The following is a 17,798-nucleotide window of genomic DNA, read 5'->3' on the forward strand; positions in this document are numbered from 1 at the left end:
TTTTCCTCACCCTTATGTCTCTAAAGACATTGCCGAACAAGACATGGTCCCACTAGGCCAGGCCGTCTTTGCCTAGTTCTGCTGATCCAAGACATTCTATTTCTACCAACAAAACACAACACAGAAAAAGAGCCCCAAACATGCATAACCAGAAAATTACATCTTTTCCTTTTCAAAAACCTCTAACCATGTATTTTATATACTTATTACTTAACCTAATGCATTTTCCCACTCCAGTAGAACAACTTTTCCTTCTGTTTAATACTATCAATCAAATATAATGGTGGGTAAGAGGAAGATGGAATAAGAACTCTTGAACTTGAAAATTGGTAGCCCTCAACTCTACGCCATGTGGGAAGTAAAATCAAACGTCTGTTACCCAACTCTCAGTGGACTAGAAGGAAAGGCATTTTATATGCTTAAGTGGTAACAAAGATGGCTTGACCTTGTGATTAGAAAGGAATGCTACCAAAGTCTGTTAGGGAGTATACCAAATGAAAATTATTCTGAATGCCTTCTTTAGGGGAAATTTGTAGGGTCTTCCCAGACTCCTTGCCCTATGCAATGAGCCAAACTATCTTGATTAAGTGCTTGAATCACACAATATTCTAGCCAGAAGGAAGCTTTGGGCCATCTAAGGCCAACCTTTTTCTTTTAGCCAGCCCCTTCCCTGAATAGATGGGGAAACCAAGACCTAAATAACCATCAAAGGTCACAGAGCTGGTTAACGGTAGGGCAGGAACTAAAATCCAGGCCTCTCAACTCTAGGCCAGACACTTCCCTCCATACCTGGCTGTCAGAAACATGCATTTCTCTCAGAAACATGAGTTTCTCTCTCTTTTAGAAAAGAAAAGCTGCCGAGACCAGCTCGGTCAGGGAGACCCTAATCCAGCGGCACTAGAGGAATTAAAGACACACACACAGAAATACAGAGGAGTGGAGTGGGAAATCAGGGGTCTCACAGCCTTCAGAGCTGAGAGCCCTGAACAGAGATTTACCCACGTATTTACTGACAGCAAGCCAGTGATAAGCATTGTTTCTATAGATTGTAGATTAACTAAAAGTATTCCTTATGGGAAATGAATGGATGGGTTGAAATAAAGGGATGGGTTGGGCTACTTATCTGCAGCAGGAGCATGTCCTTAAGGCACAGATCATGCATGCTATTGTTTGTGGTTTAAGAACACCTTTAAGCAGTTTTCCGCCCTGGGTGGGCCAGGTGTTCCTTGCTCCATTCTGGTAAACCCACAACCTTCCAGCGTGGGTGTCATGGCCATCACGAACATGTCACAGTGCTGCAGAGATTTTGTTTATGGCCAGTTTTGGGGCCAGTTTATGGCCAGATTTGGCGGGGGGCCTGTTCCCAACAAAAAGCTATCACCTAAAATCCATACATGGGCGGAATGCTTTTCCTGGGTACCGCAGAGCCTCATTACAGTGTCACTCATGGCATCATAAGAAGGTGAAGTCATTTCCAAACTCAGAGAAAAGCCCATAAATAGGAGGGGTCCAAAGGTGGGTGAGCGTACATGTGTATGGGTGTATGTGTGTCTATAGGTGTGTATGTGTGTGTATGTGGGCACGTGCGTATATTTGTGTGTGTGCATGTGCATGGGTATGTATATGGGGTGCATGGGTGTGCATGTGTATATATGCATGTGTGTATATCAGTGTGCATGTGTATATATGCATGTGTGTATATTGGTGTGCATGTGTATATATGCATTTGTATATATATGTATGTGTGTATATGGTGTGCACATGTGCATATGTGTGCATGTGTGTATATGTACGTGTGTATATGGTGTGCATGTGTGCATATGCATGTGTATATCAGTGTGCATGTGTATATATGCACGTGTATATATATGTATGTGTGTATATGGTATCTGTGTATATGTATGTGTGTATATGGTGTGCATGTGTGTGTCTGTGTGGATGTGGGTGTGCATGTGTGTATATGTATGTGTGTATATGGGTATGCATGTGTGTGTGTGCATGTGGGTGTGCATGTGTGTATATGGTGTGCACATGTGTATATGTGTGCATGTGTGTATATATACATGTGTATATGCTGTGCGTGTGTGTATATGTTTGTATATGGTGTGCAGATGTGTGAATGTGTGTATATGTATGTGTGTATATGGTGTGCATGTGTGTGTATATGTATGTGTGTATATGGTGTGCATATATGTATATGTGTGGATGTGGGTGTGCATGTGTGTATATGTACATGTGTATGGGTATGCACGCATGTATATGTGGGCACATGTGTATATTTGTGTGTGTATATGCATGTATCTGTATGTATATGGGGGTGCGTGGGTGTGTGTATACACGTATGTGTGTATATGGTGTGCATATGTGTATATGTATGTGCATATATGGGTGTGCATGTGTGTATATGTGTGTGTGTGGGTATGCATGTGTATATGCATTGTGTGTATATGGGTGTGTATGTGTCTGTGTTTCTGGGTGTGTGTATGTACATGCATGTCTGTTGCCAGCCTGCATTTCAGCATGACTGCAGTCAGGTCCTTGTTCCCTTGCACGCAAGCCCCAACATACTACATGTTTGCTTGAGACTAAAACAAGGTGACAATGCATCTGAGCAAAGAAAAAGTGACTTTGCAGCTCTGTGTGTTTCTATAACTGGGCTACATTACACTTAGTCCTGAGAGTGTGCAGGGCAGGATTGTGAAGAAATAAGTCACCACACCCATCCTCCGAGCATCTCTGCTCCCATGTCCATAACAAGAACCATGTCTGGTTAAAAGACTATAAAGAACTAACCTCAGGGACCACTGAAATCATTTTGCTGTGCTAGAATTCTGCAGAGAGAACAAACGCTTACAAAATCATGTTCATAGTCTTTGAGACCTCCAGGCAAACTGGGCCTGGGAACAGCACGTCTGCAATAGTGAGATCACTAGATCCATCCAGAATTGGAAATCTTCGGGTTGAGTCTCTCAGTTTTTAATCTGTATAATGGGACGGGCACTTAGTTGTCCAGAGTTTTGTGGATCAAATAAACATGACATGGGGACGCAATTCATAAAATGTAAGGCATTGTTACAAATCTGGAATACGAACATAAATATTTTAAACCCACTCTGCTGTAAGCTCTATTTTCCACTTGCTATTTTCTTCCACACTGACCCATTGCTCAGTGTATTTTTGTTGAACGAATGAATGAATGGATGTGCATGAGAGAAATTGACCCATTAGAGAGAAGGGAGGGTTATTTGCTTATACCCTGTCACTTGGCTCTAACTCCTAACTGCAAATTTTCTTGGATATTGTGTGAAAATGCACACGGGGGGGTTAGCAGGGGCAGGGGTCAGAAGACCTATAGGGCCATTTGCAATTTGATGGAGACACACAGGCCTGAACAACTCAGTTATCAGCCGCATCCCAGCTTCTCATCTGTTCTCAGAATCTACAAGGGATTTCAGAAGGAACATATGGTACAGCGTGGGGAAGAACTGCTGTGAAATGATCACTGGCACAGCAGTGGCCATGGCTGGCTCACTTCCCCAAAGCCCCGACTGAGTGCCAGGCTCGGTGTCTGTTTCATCGTCACATCCCACAGCTGGTTAAGTGCTCGAGCTGGGATTCGAACCTGGGTAGCTGGACTCTGGCTTGTGATCCTAACCTTGACGTATCCTGTCTCCAGACAGAAGGTCTATCTTACAGCCTGCCCTTTCCTGACAATTTTATGGAAGAAAAGTCACCAAAACAGTGAGTTCCTCTGGGAACGTGGGTTTGCCCCTTGCATTGTTTGGCTCCCAAAGCATCTCTGTTATGGGCACATTATGTCATATGTTGTTAGAATGTATGTTCCCTGAGGACAGGGGCTGCATCCTCCCTTCTGCAGACTTGCCACAGAGTATGGGATGTTTACTGGTCTGAGTTCAGTTGGGCCTTGGAGTGATGCACTTAGTGAATCCCCAGAGGCCTGTTCTGGCCTCTCCTCTCCTCATATTCCAGGACTTTGGTTCAGCTGCTCTCCCCCAAGAGCATTCTCTAGGTGTCTCCCATTGTAAATGAATGCTACCCGCTTCCCCAATCCACTCCATTTATAGACTAATTCCATTACAACAAACACCATAGCCAGAAACGTATAACCAAGACTCAGTGTTTTGTTCCAAGTGAACTGGAGGCAGTGTAGCACAGCATATAGGAGCTGAGACTCTCCTGTCCAAGAGCTAGCCAGGCCTGATCCTGCTTAGCTTCCAAGATCAGATGAGATCAGGCTCATTCTGGGTAGTGTAGCCTTAGACTAGGAGCTCAGATTCTAGAGTCAGACTATCTGGGTTTGAATCCTTATTAACTGTGGGTGTGGCCGAGTTATTTAGCCCCTCAATGTCTCAGTATTCTCATCTGGGTATAAAGATAGCAAGAACTGATTTTTGGTGAAGATCAAACAACAGAATATATGAAAAGTTCTGTGCACAGTGTCTTGCCTGTTGTTGATATTTACTCAATGTTAGCTACCACATTGGACACTATCAGTAAACATTTGTTGAATTAGTGCATGAATGAATGACTGAATAAACATAGGCATGTGTGAAAAGGTAGGGCCGTCACCACTGTGGAGGGTGATACTGGTCTAAGAAATTTGAATTTGACTGAGGAGGCATTGGGGGAAGCTGCTGATGATTTGGGAGGATCAAAATGTAAATGCAATCTTGTGATACAAATAGAAAGATGTTTTAGAAGGATCATTCAGGCCGGTGCGGGGTCTGGATTAAAGCTAGGTTATACTGGTAGTTGGGAGAAAAAGACAGGTGGCTAAAACATCTTCCAGCTGTGAGGAAGGGAGGGCCTGAGCTGGTGCAGCCATGTGATGGTGGACAGGAAAGGGTGTGGAATGTGCTGTGGAGGTAGGAGTCACCACGGGACTTGGGTGAAGACCCAAGGGAGAGAAGGCACTGGTGTTGAGTGCCTCGGCCAGTGGGACAGCAAAGCAGCCTGTGAGGGAGAGGCAGGCAGGGAGAGCCGGTGAGTTAGGTATGTGTGGAGTACAGCAACAGCAGGGAAATTCAATCCATTCTCAATGATGTTTTAAGAAGAATATGATGATGAGCCTGGCTTGTGGAGTCCTAGTTAGGGAGGAGGAGTCAGGCTAGCAGGATTGGGGGAAAGCAAAATGAAGAAGCAGATAAGCTACAAGTCTGCCTTTTTCATGGTCCAGGACACATATCCCTCCCGTGCACATGACTCACAATCTTCCTGTGCCCAGCTATCACCAGACCCCCAGCTGACAGAAAATTGCAATTTAGTTCACTGCAACCTTGGCATTATCAATATTGCACAAAGCTTTCTTCAGCACACCGGTGGCACAAGCACCATCCTATAACATCTCCAGCAAGCCTTTGTCTCCTTGCAGTCAGCTCCTCTCTTGCTGGCCTGCCCATTGCTCCTTTGTAATGTATTTTCCTATGATCTCTAGTAAATCTCCCTTTCTTTACCTACAACTGTCTTGGTAAATTCTTCTTACCCCCACGCCTCTGGCCCAGATAGTCACTGCGCACCTGCAACACTGCTTACACTTGATACACTTATGAGATGTGCGTGATCTCTGACTTTCCCCTTCCTTCCAGAATTATCTTTTCATCTCGATTAGATGCTTTCTAACTGTAATGAACTGTGGTTAACTCCTGATAGTCATCCGCCCTGACGTGTTTAGTCCAAGCTGGTTGTAGAAGATACTATCCCTTTCTGACAATCAGTAGTTGCCATGGAAATGAATGGGATGTCACCCAAACAACACTTTTGGCCAAAATATTAGATTCTATCCTTACCTGATGGTCCAGCCTCAGTTCATCTCAGCTGGTCTCCTTTGAAACTATCAAAGCAAATGCTCTCTATTTTTTCCAGTGAGAAACATATACCACGAATGAAACATTTTTGGGTCCTGATCATGTCTAAGGGGAGACATGTTTCCTTCCTTTCATTCCGTGCACCTGGCCTCTGCTGCTATCTCCTCTCACCTGGGCTTCAGGCTGTTCCACAAGAGGCCCCTGCCTGACCCTGACAGAGCAGGGGACCCTCCCTCTCCCCTCCTGTTCCCTCTGACTACGACTTCATGCTGGAGCCAGCGGGTGCTTTTCAAAGCCCAAACATAGTCATGACACGCCTTGAGGAAGGCCTTTATTGACCTCCTAATGTTCCCCTATCACAACCAAGGCTATCAACATGGTCCTCAGGTCCTATACGCTATGACTTTCATCAGCTCCTAAACACTTCCTTCCTCTCCCCCGCCACCCCAAGTAAAACTCAGCATCAGCCTGGAACGTTTCTCCTCCTGTCCCCTGGTTCATGCCTCCTCAGCCTCCAGCTGTTGGTTCAAATGTTCCTTTCCCCATAAAGCCTTCCATGATCCCTCAGACCAGATTAGGGCCCCGTGGCCTTTCCTTTGGTGCACTTAGCCCAGATGTTAATTATGTTTGTGCTTACCAGGATAAGGGCAGTCTTCTTCCTCTAGCCTCCCCTCACCCATGGGCTCCCTTGTCTGTTTTTAATCCCTGCTGTATTCTCAGCATAAGGGGGCATGTGAACAGGTCATGGTACCTGCGTAGTGCAGGTTCTTGGTTGACAAGATGCATGTAACAGACGAATGTATTCCCTCCAAAGCACTGACAGCATCTAGCCTTTTTGGGGACCTCTGCCAGCCTTTCAGAGCTGTCTTTTGGCATGTAAACAGCAGAAATGTCACACGGATAGTCTCCCGCAGGCCTTATTAAAAGTAACAATATAAAACATAATCTCCCCTTAGATGTGGGCAGCAAAGGATAAAGCCACAAATATTTCATCCTGTCAGGACAGTCGAGAGAAAAGATGTGATTAACTCCAAAATTAAAATCAGCCACTCTTCTGAGTCAACCAGCTTATACCAATTGTTGAGATATTTAAAGAAAAAAATAGCACTATACACTATAGCCAACAAAAAGTGGTTCTTATTTTATACATAACTTTAAATTTAGGAAAATTCCCTGTGTGCTGACTTGAGCAGAAGAGGAGATGAGTCAGCAAATTTCTTTTTGTTTTCCAGCCTGATTCAATAAAAACAAAACCCTAAAAGCTGCATCTGGGTCCTCACCACGAAAAACAATGCAAAGCCTCGGACTCTCCTTAAGGGGCTCCTGCTGGAAGGACCAGCTGTTCTGGGCTGTGGGTTTTAATTAGTGAACAACATTGTTCACTCCCTGTCTTTACTGTAACAAGGCTGACTGCTTGGAAAGGCATTCAAAGGAATGGGGGAAGGGAACTGCTGGGTTAAAAGAAAAGTCACCATTTTTCTAATTATAAAAGCAACATGTGCTTGATGCTTCTGGAGATTTGGGGGTGCCAATTAATCTAGCTTTCAGTTGCTTCCCCAGTGGAGATGATCCACAGAGTCAGATGAAGATCAAAATACAGCATCAGCTTAATGACTGCCAAAAAAGAGGCTTCTGGTATATTCTGGAGAGGATACTAGTTTAGGCCTAGACAGTAGAGAGGCTTCCTGCAATTTCCAACTTCCATCCTCCCCATGCCCCGACCTCTTTCCCCTTCTTCCCAGCCAAAAGCCTCAGGACCCATTGTGGGGAAGGTAGAAATGAGGAACACTGCTGCCTAGAGGACTCCATGGAGGGAGGGAGGGGCAAGTCTCACCCACTACTGACCTCAAGGGCTGCCCAACACAGGGGCTGCAGCCACTCCCCAGTTAGCAGGGACCAGGGATTTTCAGGGCCTGTCTCCTCCCACCCTCTTCCCTGTAAAGAGACAGTTCCATGGGGAGGACCGGGGGAAGACGAGGGGAATGGAGCAGACATTCACCCTTTCACACAGTAACCACATGGAAAAGGAGGAGAGGAAAAATGTGAGCTCCTGCTCCTGTGCACATGTGAATCAGAGAACCCAGAAAAGCACAGAGTCCCGCACCACATGGAGACAAACACTATCAACGCCCTGGAGCCCTTCCATCCGGGCTGTTTACTAAGATGCCTGGATATGTAGACTTCAGCTTTTGCAATCCAAGTCCCAAACAGACCTGGCAGTTGTTGAACCCCTGTTTCTCTAGTCCTCTATTTCTTCGTCTTCTTGCTTATTGCATTTTTCCTCCCAAGTGAGAAAGAAGGGGAAAAAGTACTGTGATAGTAAATATTGAGTGTCAACTTGATTGGATTGAAGGATGCAAAGTATTATTCCTGGGTGTGTCTGTGAGGGTGTTGCCAAAGGAGATTAACATTTGAGTCAGTGGACTGGGAGAGGCCCACCCGTCCTCAATCTGGGTGGGCACCATCTAATCAGCTGCCAGCGCGGCTAGAATAAAGTAGGCAGAGGAATGTGGAAAGACTAGACTGGCTGAGTTTTCTGGCCTTTACCTTTCTCCCGTGCTGAATGTTTCCTGCCCTTGAACATCGGACTTCAAGTTCTTCAGCTTTTGGACTCTTGGACCTACACCAATGGTTTGCCAGGGGTTCTCGGGCCTTCAGCCACAGACTGAAGGCTGCACCATCGGCTTCCCTACTTTTGAGGTTTTGGGACTTGGATTGGCTTCCTTGCTCCTCAACTTGCAGATGGCCTATTGTGAGGCCTTACCTTGTGATCGTGTGAGTCTGTACTCCTTAACAAACTCCCCTTCATATATACATCTGTCCTATTAGTTCTGTCCTTCAAGAGAACCCTGACTAATACTAATACAGATGCCTAAGAAAAAGAAAACTAGTAAGGGAGATTGTAACAGAATGCACAAAACTATTCAAATAACTTTGAATGCATATTTTACACATTCTAGAGATGTCTGTATTAGACAAGCACTGTTCACCATCATAGATCGTGGACATTTGGAAGACCGGAGCCTATTGTTGTGGTATTTCTAAGATCTCTCTTTTCTGTTTCTTTCTGAAATAACTATTTACACTGTGGAGATAGCCTCAGTGCTGAGTCTGAAAACATATTTTAAATGAGATCTTAGGGAGGTAAAAGAGGACATAAACGTCAAATGTGAACTCATGGCCCTGCCCATCACTTATTTATGACGTTGATCCACAGATCTTTACTTTAGGACTCCATCTTTCTCTGTACTCTAGGTTCTTATATATCCATCTGCCTACAGAAGACCTTTACTTGGCTGTCCTATGACAAACTCAACACAGACAAACCAAGACTCATCTCCTCTGCCTTCCAACCAACAACTGCTCCTTAATGGTACCACTGAGAAACAAATTGCCCATCCAATGGCCTAAGTGGAAGGGAAAGTCCCACTGATGACACCTCCCCCACCCTCTATCCCCTGATCCTGTCTCCTTTGACTTCCCAAGGACTCTTGACTCTGGCCAATTGCTGACCATTCCAAGGCCCAGTTCTGTAGGCAAAATTTTCACTAACTACAATGGGCCCATAAGAAATCTTCCTGTCTTCTGTCTACCAATATTCCTACCAATCTTTCTTCCATTCTGTCATCAGAGACCCTTTCTAAATCACAGAACTGAACAGGCCATTCTGCTGCATGAGAACTTCCTATGACTCCCAAATTTCAATAGGTAAAGTTGAAACTCTTTAGTATGGAAAGGTTTCATCCCCATCTTGGTCTTCTTCTTTGCCCACTTTTAAAGACCCAGATTAATGTTACTTCCTTAGTGAAATGGCGTCCAAAGAATTAAAATCAGCCACAATTAAAATACCACAGTGGTATTTTGTACACATCTCCTATTATAGTAATTACATTAAAACATGTTTTTTAAATGTCTTTAAAATGCTCTGTGCCTCTTAAGCAGGATTTATATGCTGAGGAATATATTTTAGTCAGCCTATCTCCCCATAGCCTAACAGTGTCTGCAAACAGGAGGTGCTAAATAAATGTTTGCTGAGTGAATAGATGAAGAAATGAATTTTACATGGCATCACCTAAGACAATGCAATGCTAGATGGATAATTTTATTAAAAATCTATTATATGCAAGATGCTATGTGAGGCTCTATGGGGTTAGGAAAGGGATAGATAGCATTCTCCACTCACAAAAGCTATTAAAATCACTATAAGAAACAGTATAGGTTATCACAGAAGAAATACTATCAGTTATAATACTTTTAATCTGAAGATATTAATGGATTAAATTACCTTAGTAGATATACTAATGTTGAACTATCCTTGCATTCCTCAGTTGAGTATAATTTGGTCAGAAGTATTTTTAAAATATGTACTGGATAGGGTTTGTAAAATTTACTTAGGATTTTTGCAACTACGTCCATAATTGAAACTAGTCTGTAGGATTCATTTTGTGCATGCTCTTTTTCTTGTTTTAGAAGCTCCTTCCACACCCTCCTTTAAAAAAATTATTCTTTTTTTCTCAGGAACTATTTGTTTCTTATATGTTAGTTAAAACTCACCAGCTAAATCATTTGAGTCTGAGCTTATTTTTGTCAGTAAATATTAAAAGTACTATTACAAATTTAATATCTTTATATAGTTATATTTAAATTTTCCTCTTTCACCTTGATCCAGTGTTAATAATTTTACATTTCTAAGAAATAATTAGTATTGTTCACAACATTCTTGTGATTTAAAAAATCTCTGAATAAAAATATTTATATCCCTCTTTGCATTCTTAATATTATTTACTTGGGAATTCTTTCTTTCTTAATTTTATAAATGTCTTGTCCATTTTATGAATATTTTCAAAGCACCAGCTTTTGGTTTAATTCATCTTCCCTCTTGAGTTTTTTTTTTTTTTTTTTGGTCTTCCTTTTCATTAATTTCTGCTCATTTAAAAAATCTTCATTTCTGAGAGAGGTATATTTAAATCTCCCACTCTGTGAATGTGTCCAGACATTTTCAGTGACTTGCTTTATGAATTAAGCTTATCAATTTTACATCTAGAGACTTTTCTTTTGAGGAAAAATTGTAAAATGCTGTCAGTATTGAAAGCTTTTTTGGTAACCTTCTAGGAACCAAACAAGTTTTAGCCCATAATGTCTAATCTTTAATGCTTTTTTGTTTTGTTTCGGATTTTCAGAAATCCTTTAATTAGGAGCTGGGCTAAAGCTTAGTTCTAGATGAATCTATAATTAGATTTAAAAGTTACATCTGGATTCTGCCATTTATCACTTTATATATTTTGAGACAATTTTGCTAGCATATACAGTTTCAAAATTCTTTTACTACCTTTCTAAGTTGCTCCTTTTATCATTACAGAATTACTCCCTTTATGCCTATTAATGTCATTTTTGCCTTAAGGTCTAGCTTCTCTGATGTTACCACTACAGCAGCTTTTTTTTTGTTTTGTTTTGCTTTTTTTTTAATTAAGATTTGTCTACAATATCTTTTCCCATTCCTTTTCTTAGTTCTCACAACCATTTTATATTTTGGGTGTGAATCCTGTAAAAATGATGTAGCTGGATTTTATTTTAAATTCTAAGCAGATCATGTTTTCATTTTTACAAAGAGATTCCATCTATTTACATATAATGAGATTAATATGTTGACTCATTTTTATCTTGCTATTTTATGTTTTTCTACTCTTTAAATAGTTATACTTAAAATTGCAGGACACACTCTTATCAAAATCTAAAGTTAATCAGCGTGTCTATTATTCTCCAGTACAATACAAATTCTTAAACCATTTTAAATCTATTAGCTCATCTGGTTTTAAACCATCCAAATTTGGTCACTGTTGCAACAGTCATTTTAAGAAGCTTATTTAAATTTATTCACATGCATTATTTTGTTTACTAGTGCCTCTGACTTCCTGTCCTTGCTGCTGGTGATCAGTTTCCTTCCTACTGAGCTATTCTTTGTTAGTTACCCTTTGGTAGATACCTTCGTTGGAATCTGAGGGTAGTAATTTCTCTCATCTTTGTATGAAAATGTCTATTTCATTTTTATTCTTACAAAATAATTAATGAATATAGGATTGAGACTGACAATAATTTTCCCTTAGCTCTCAAGTTTTAATTGCATAGTTACTAATGAAAAGTTTATTGTTGGTTTAGTTGTCATTATTTTGTACAAATCTCTCTTTTGCCTCAAGTGGTTTTAAGAGTTCATCCTTGGTGTTCTGCATTTTCATCAGCAGCTGTCCTGGAGTATGTTTAGTTTAGTTATTCCAAGTTATCCACCTCCTTGGTGGATTTTCCTCAAGACTCATGTCTTTCCTCAATTCAGGGACAGGCTCGTCACACTCTGATTAAACACGGCTTGTTTCCTGTGTGTGTTTTTAAATTTTATGTATTTTCATTGTGGAATTTCTATTAGACCCATTCTGTTCTCTTTAATTTTTTTTCTCTGATTTTTCCATTATCTCTTATGTTCTCAGAAGTCCTAATTCTTGTTTCTCTTGTCTGCTGATGCTTGCGTACAACGGCTTTTTGCATTGTGTGGCTTGTAATTTTGATTTGGGGCTCATCTTTAATATTTTTATTACTTTTTCTTCCATGAGGGCATCTCATGTTATCTGGGTTATAGAAATATTCCTACAGAACTATTTTGGGTTGGCTTATGTCTGGGCCCATGGGAGTTTCACTGATGTGGGACCAGTTTTGAGGTCAATATCTTGACTGGGAATTCCATTCCTACGCTGGTATTAAAAATTTGGACACAGGCCCAGACTATTCCCAACATCCACACATGAGACTAACTGGGGTTTCAATGTCTTCATTTTTTATGAAGTCTTTTTTCAATCCAAGACACCTGGCAAACAATTCTTCCTCCCAGCCCCCATCCCTGGATTGGAAGAGTTCTTTTTGTCTCTTTTTCACAGAGGAAAGCAGCTCTCCTGGGGATCTGGCTTTTGTGGGATTCTCAGTTGCAGGCGGTTACTTCTCTTTTTCCAAACCCAAGCACCAGGCCCTCTTTCTGGGTCTTGAATAGCCCTTTGGGTCTTTGAATAGTCCTTTGGGGAGCCCCAACTCACCAGCCAGTGCTCAGGAATAACATCCCCTCTTTGTTTCTGCCTCTTGGGGATTTTGCTGACTCTCTTTTGAGCTTGACCAGGCATTAGCAAAAATTCTTAAATGTTTATATTTTATCCTGGATTTCCATGTGTTTTCTTTGGGCTGGGAGAGCTACAGCAGCTCATTCCACCAAGTTCCTGGAAGGCTGCAGGTATCAGCTTGCAAGTGCCAAGTGTCAAACAAGTGATAAAGAAAAGTGTTGGTGTCATGCAGAGAAGGGAGGAATCACTGCAGACAGTAATGGCTACTTGACAACCTTCAGTGATAAGGGAGAAGCATAAAGCCTGCCTCAAGCTCATCCTTTTTAAAATACCCACAGCTCTTTAAAACAAGTAACCTTCCTCCTTCCCAGAGGGCAGTGACTCTGTCCTATTCTCTCTGAATCCCCATATTCACATGTGGGACAGATCATGGAGAGTACACAGTAAACATTTGTTAAAGCAACAAATGAAGTGAGCATTTTGTCCAGGACACAGCTAAAAGTTCAAATACCAGAAACACTGCCTGAGAGGGGATAAATGTCATGTTACAGTAACACCCACGATATAGAATCGTATCCACATTGTGGATACATTCAGAATAGGTTAAGCAGAATCAGTTTTCTTTTAAAGTTCTTTAAGGCACCTCAGAGTTTAATGTAGCCAAGTTCAGTTCAGGCAAGGCTGCCTTCCAAGCCATCTCTAACTGGCTAGGTTTTCTAAAAAGGATTTGCCCAAATGAGGATCCATAGTCCTTGGAAGGTGGTTTCAAGGTTCAGCTCTGCCATAAAGCCATTCCCTCAGGGGCTGTCTGTGCACATACCTGGCCAAGGCTGCTGTTTTGGATTTATAATAGAACGCCTACCACTAAGGGACACACCAGCGCTTCTTGGGGGGGCCTAAGTTAAGAATCTGGGCATGTGATTTTGCTCCGAATAAAATGGCTACAAAGGTTAAGCACAGATCCAGTGGTGTAAGATTATGGTGATCCCAACGTGCCAGAATTACCGTGTAATTTCGAGCGAGGGAGACATCAGTACCGTCTTGCAGATAGTGGGTTTCCGTGAAACTGCTGGCAATGAGACCTCTGCGGAAAAACAAAAACACCATAAAAAGATGAGTGCAGAATTGCATTGATACATTGTTGTGAATGTCTAGGCTATAGGGTAGCAAGATTGTGACCTCCTTTTTTTTTTTTTAACAGATAATCCAAGGAAGCTCCCATTAGGGCCTTCCCAGTTTAGGTTCTCCGGGGAGAATTCAGAGGAGACTCAGACAACAGAGTCAGATATGCATCCTCGGAACAATAGCCCACACACTCAATGTGGAACCCTCCCTCTCTCCCTTCCTCCCACCTCATTCCTTCATGCGCACACTGGGTGCACACACTTGCAAAGGCACACATTTGTCACACACATATACTCTTCCATGAATAGTACAGGCAGATTTCCAATTTGGGAAAATCTCCTGCTTGGAAGTCACAGTCTCCACCAACTGGAATCAATGGTTGAACCACCTGCTGGGAAAATCATTCTGATCCACAGCAGTGCCCCTGCTGGCTCCCCCGCAGGTGAGAGAACCGGCTGAAAATATTGAAATGTCACAGAAGAGAATAGAACAGCAATGAAATGCTAAAAGCAGCAATGTATGTATGAGGTGAGGAAAAATGATTTTGCACATCCTGAAATATTGAATTTCTAAGATAAATTGAAAGGGGGAGGAAACCCCGTTTATGCTATTAATAAAACTGTATGCAGTCTACCAGAACTTCATTAAAGATTGCAAAGCATGGGTTACTTAGATTTTAAATTATTTTCCAATGTCTTACATAACATGCACTATTTTATCCTGTTCAACACAACCACAGGAAGTATTTCCTGTGTAACTACCGCTGCCAGGTGCTAGCTGCTGGGATACAAAGACAAATAGGAACAGCCCCCATCTTGATGACACCACGAGCTGGTAGGGTGATGGTTGACACAGAATCCAGTGTGAAGGGAGCGATCACAGAGTAGAAACAGAGTCCTTCTGAGGCAGGAGAGTAAGGTCTGGAGGCAGGGAACAAAGGTCGATTCATGCTGACTTTCTAGAACTAAGTCAAACGGAAACACTTCAGCTATGACAGGAAATATCCTCTCCATTTACATAGGGCGTACAGCGATTAAATGACTTTGTAACTTTACCTCATCCCCTTCATTTACATAGGGCGCACACGAAGTAACCAATGGAAACCTCTAGAGGGTATTTAAATCCCAGAAAATTCTGTAACGGGGATCTTGAGCACCTATGCTTGGGCCCCCTCACACCCTGAGGAGCGTAATTTCATTTTCAATAAATCTCTGCTTCTGTTGCTTCATTCTTTCCTTGTTTTGTTTGTGCATTTTGTCCAATTCTTTGTTCAAAACACCAAGAACCTGGACATCCTCCAGCAGTAACACTTCTGGGTGCGTGGATGTGCTTTGGGTGGAGCATCCTGCAAGGGAAAGGCTTTGCGTAGGGATCCGACAACTACTGGGCCCTAACGATGGAGCAGGAGTCGGCCAGGCCCAGGACAGGGTGGAAGGAGAGGGGAAATCCTGGCAGATAATGTCAAGGTCAGGGCCTGAAAGGCCTGGAGTCTGGGGAGCTGGGCTGGTGGAAGACAGAGAAAGGCTCTAAACAGAACCTGGGTTTTCTGTGTCTGGACAACAGGGAGTCAAGAGTTGCTTTAAATACTGAACTTTGTGGATGGTGAAGGTGCTGCCTGCCCTTTCCTGTCTTCAGAGGAAGACACTCTCCACTCTTCACACCGTTTGGTTTTGTGTGTGTGTGTGTGGGGGGGTGCTCCTCCACTCTTGATCCAGAGATGAACATGTGACCCAAGCTAAGCCCATCACAAATCTTCCCTACAGCATGTTGAGCTGGGATGTCTGGGGATGACGTCTTTCTTCTCTGTTCTCAAGGCTCTGAGAATGTGGCCACCACCTCCATCCTGGTCCCTTACTTCAGGAGAAAGCTAGTCAGAGAGAACAAAGCTGTCACCCTCAGGCAGGGACAAAAGGCAGGGAGAGGGAGATGGACCTGTTGCCCATGGGGCCTGCTCCGCCTCTCCTCCTCCTCATAAGTCCCTCTCTTCTGCCTACGCTGGCTGGAGCTGGGTTTTGCAACCAGAGTCCTGATCAGTATGGCAGGGAAGGAAAAGCAGCGGGAATATGCAAATGTCAGAGATGAGAAGCACTTCCTTACACAGTCAGAGTTCTTAGACCTGCTCCCAGCCAAGTTCAGAACTGAGAGTCAGCTCCTTGTTTTACATGGATTGCAATATGTTGAGGATATGCCTGGCTTAAATCAGTTAGACCCCGATGGCAGGTCTCCGCTGCAGTCTACTTAACAGCGAGTGTTTGAGAGAGTGTGCGGAAAACATAAAACACAGACGGGCCCTCACACTCACTGGCAAAGGCACGTGGGCCTCCCAAGTGCTGCCCCTCACTCTCCTCAGCAGTGCACATGTCGTGCCAGAGAAAGTTGCCCTCCTTGGCAGCGTTGAGCTCTGAAACCCCTGTCTTCTAAGCTCACCTCCTCTGAGCTGCCAGAGGGGCTGCCTGGGCAGGCTCATTCACAGGGCACCCTGGCCCTGTCACGCAGTCATGAGCAAAGGAGAGGAAGAGGGGAAGGAGAGCAGGCAAGGCAGTGGGAAGGTGACAGGGCCCTGAAGAGAAGAGTGTGAAGAAGGGGTAGTCCTTAGTCATAGGTAGAGAGCTCCAGGATGGTGGAGGAGTCTGGTGACCTTGACAATGGAGATGCAGCAGGTGAGCCCAGGTCAAGGTGACAGGCGAGGTGAACGAATGTTCCACAGCACAGTTCCAAAGGGAAGCAGAGAGGCGGGATGTGAAAACCAGAGACGGGGACTTGAGGGGAATAACTGGAGGGATGGGGCTGAGAGGGGACATGGGTGAAGCTGCAGAGGAACAGGCAGAAGGATGCAGAGCACAGAGGGATACACACAACACAGGACATATCTGCAGAGCACGGGGTAATGCACACAGCACGGGAGAAAGCACAGAGCACAGGGAGAGAATGCACAGAGCACCGGGAGAGGAGGCACAGAGCACAGGGGGAGGCACAGAGCATGGAGGGGAGGATGCACAGAGCATGAGGGATGCACAGAGCATGGGAAGATGCACAGAGCATGGGGAGAGGATGCACAGAGCACGGAGAGAGGATGCACAGAGCACGGGGAGGATGCACAGAGCACGGGGAGAGAATGCACAGAGCATGGGGAGAGGATGCACAGAGCACGGAGAGAGGATGCACAGAGCACGGGGAGGATGCACAGAGCACGGGGAGGATGCACAGAGCATGGGGCAGGGATGCACAGAGCCGGGGGTGGGGATGCAGAGAGCAGAGGCGGGGAGGATGCAGAGAGCATGGGGCGGGGATGCACAGAGCATGGGTTGGGGGATGCACAGAGCACGGGGAGAGGATGCACAGAGCACAGGGAGAGGATGCACAGAGCATGGTGGGGAGGATTCGGAGAGCATGGGGGTGGGGATGCACAGAGCACGGGTGGGAGGATGAGCAGAGCATGGAGTGGGGATGCACACAGCACGGTGGGGAGGATGCGCAGAGCACGGGGAGTAGATGCACAGAGCACGGTGGGGAGGGTGCGCAGAGCATGGGGAGAGGATGCACAGAGCATGGTGGGGAGGATGCACAGAGCATGGAGGGGGGATGCACAGAGCATGGAAGATGCAGCTAAGGATGCACACAGCCTATTCTCTACTGAGCCAGAACCCATAGTGGCCTCAATAGTCTTAAAAAAGAGCACACGGCTGGGCACAGTGGCTCACGCCTGTAATCCCAGCACTTTGGGAGGCCAAGGCGGGCAGATCACGAGGTC

At 44.1% G+C, this 17,798-nt stretch overlaps 1 protein-coding gene and 1 pseudogene across 5 annotated transcripts in view, besides 3 other annotated features; both read right to left on the minus strand.

Annotated features, from left to right (window-relative positions):
- The window catches only part of ADAM12 (ADAM metallopeptidase domain 12), a 376,087-nt gene that overhangs the window by 128,909 nt on the left and 229,380 nt on the right, over positions 1–17,798 (minus strand). For 3 of the 5 annotated variants that reach the window (NM_001288973.2, NM_001288975.2, NM_001288974.2), the window contains exon 4: positions 13,928–14,006. In NM_001288973.2, the coding sequence (NP_001275902.1) occupies positions 13,928–14,006 (79 nt within the window). Of the gene's footprint in view, positions 1–13,918; positions 14,007–17,798 lie in introns of all 5 variants that reach the window. The other 2 variants (NM_003474.6, NM_021641.5) reach the window with 1 other exon arrangement.
- On the minus strand, positions 4,175–4,283 carry RNA5SP328 (RNA, 5S ribosomal pseudogene 328; annotated as a pseudogene).
- Positions 6,625–7,124: an enhancer, noted in NCBI's record as "H3K27ac hESC enhancer chr10:127836493-127836992 (GRCh37/hg19 assembly coordinates)". NCBI's record gives its function as "activates a minimal SCP1, AML or CMV promoter by ChIP-STARR-seq in primed H9 embryonic stem cells {active_cell/tissue: H9 hESC(primed)}" and the evidence as "EXISTENCE:reporter gene assay evidence [ECO:0000049][PMID:30033119]".
- Positions 15,946–16,446: an enhancer, noted in NCBI's record as "H3K4me1 hESC enhancer chr10:127845814-127846314 (GRCh37/hg19 assembly coordinates)". NCBI's record gives its function as "activates a minimal SCP1, AML or CMV promoter by ChIP-STARR-seq in naive H9 embryonic stem cells {active_cell/tissue: H9 hESC(naive)}" and the evidence as "EXISTENCE:reporter gene assay evidence [ECO:0000049][PMID:30033119]".
- Positions 16,447–16,947: an enhancer, noted in NCBI's record as "H3K4me1 hESC enhancer chr10:127846315-127846815 (GRCh37/hg19 assembly coordinates)". NCBI's record gives its function as "activates a minimal SCP1, AML or CMV promoter by ChIP-STARR-seq in naive H9 embryonic stem cells {active_cell/tissue: H9 hESC(naive)}" and the evidence as "EXISTENCE:reporter gene assay evidence [ECO:0000049][PMID:30033119]".

This window comes from Homo sapiens, chromosome 10 (genome assembly GCF_000001405.40).
Source record: "Homo sapiens chromosome 10, GRCh38.p14 Primary Assembly".
Lineage (NCBI taxonomy): Eukaryota > Metazoa > Chordata > Mammalia > Primates > Hominidae > Homo > Homo sapiens.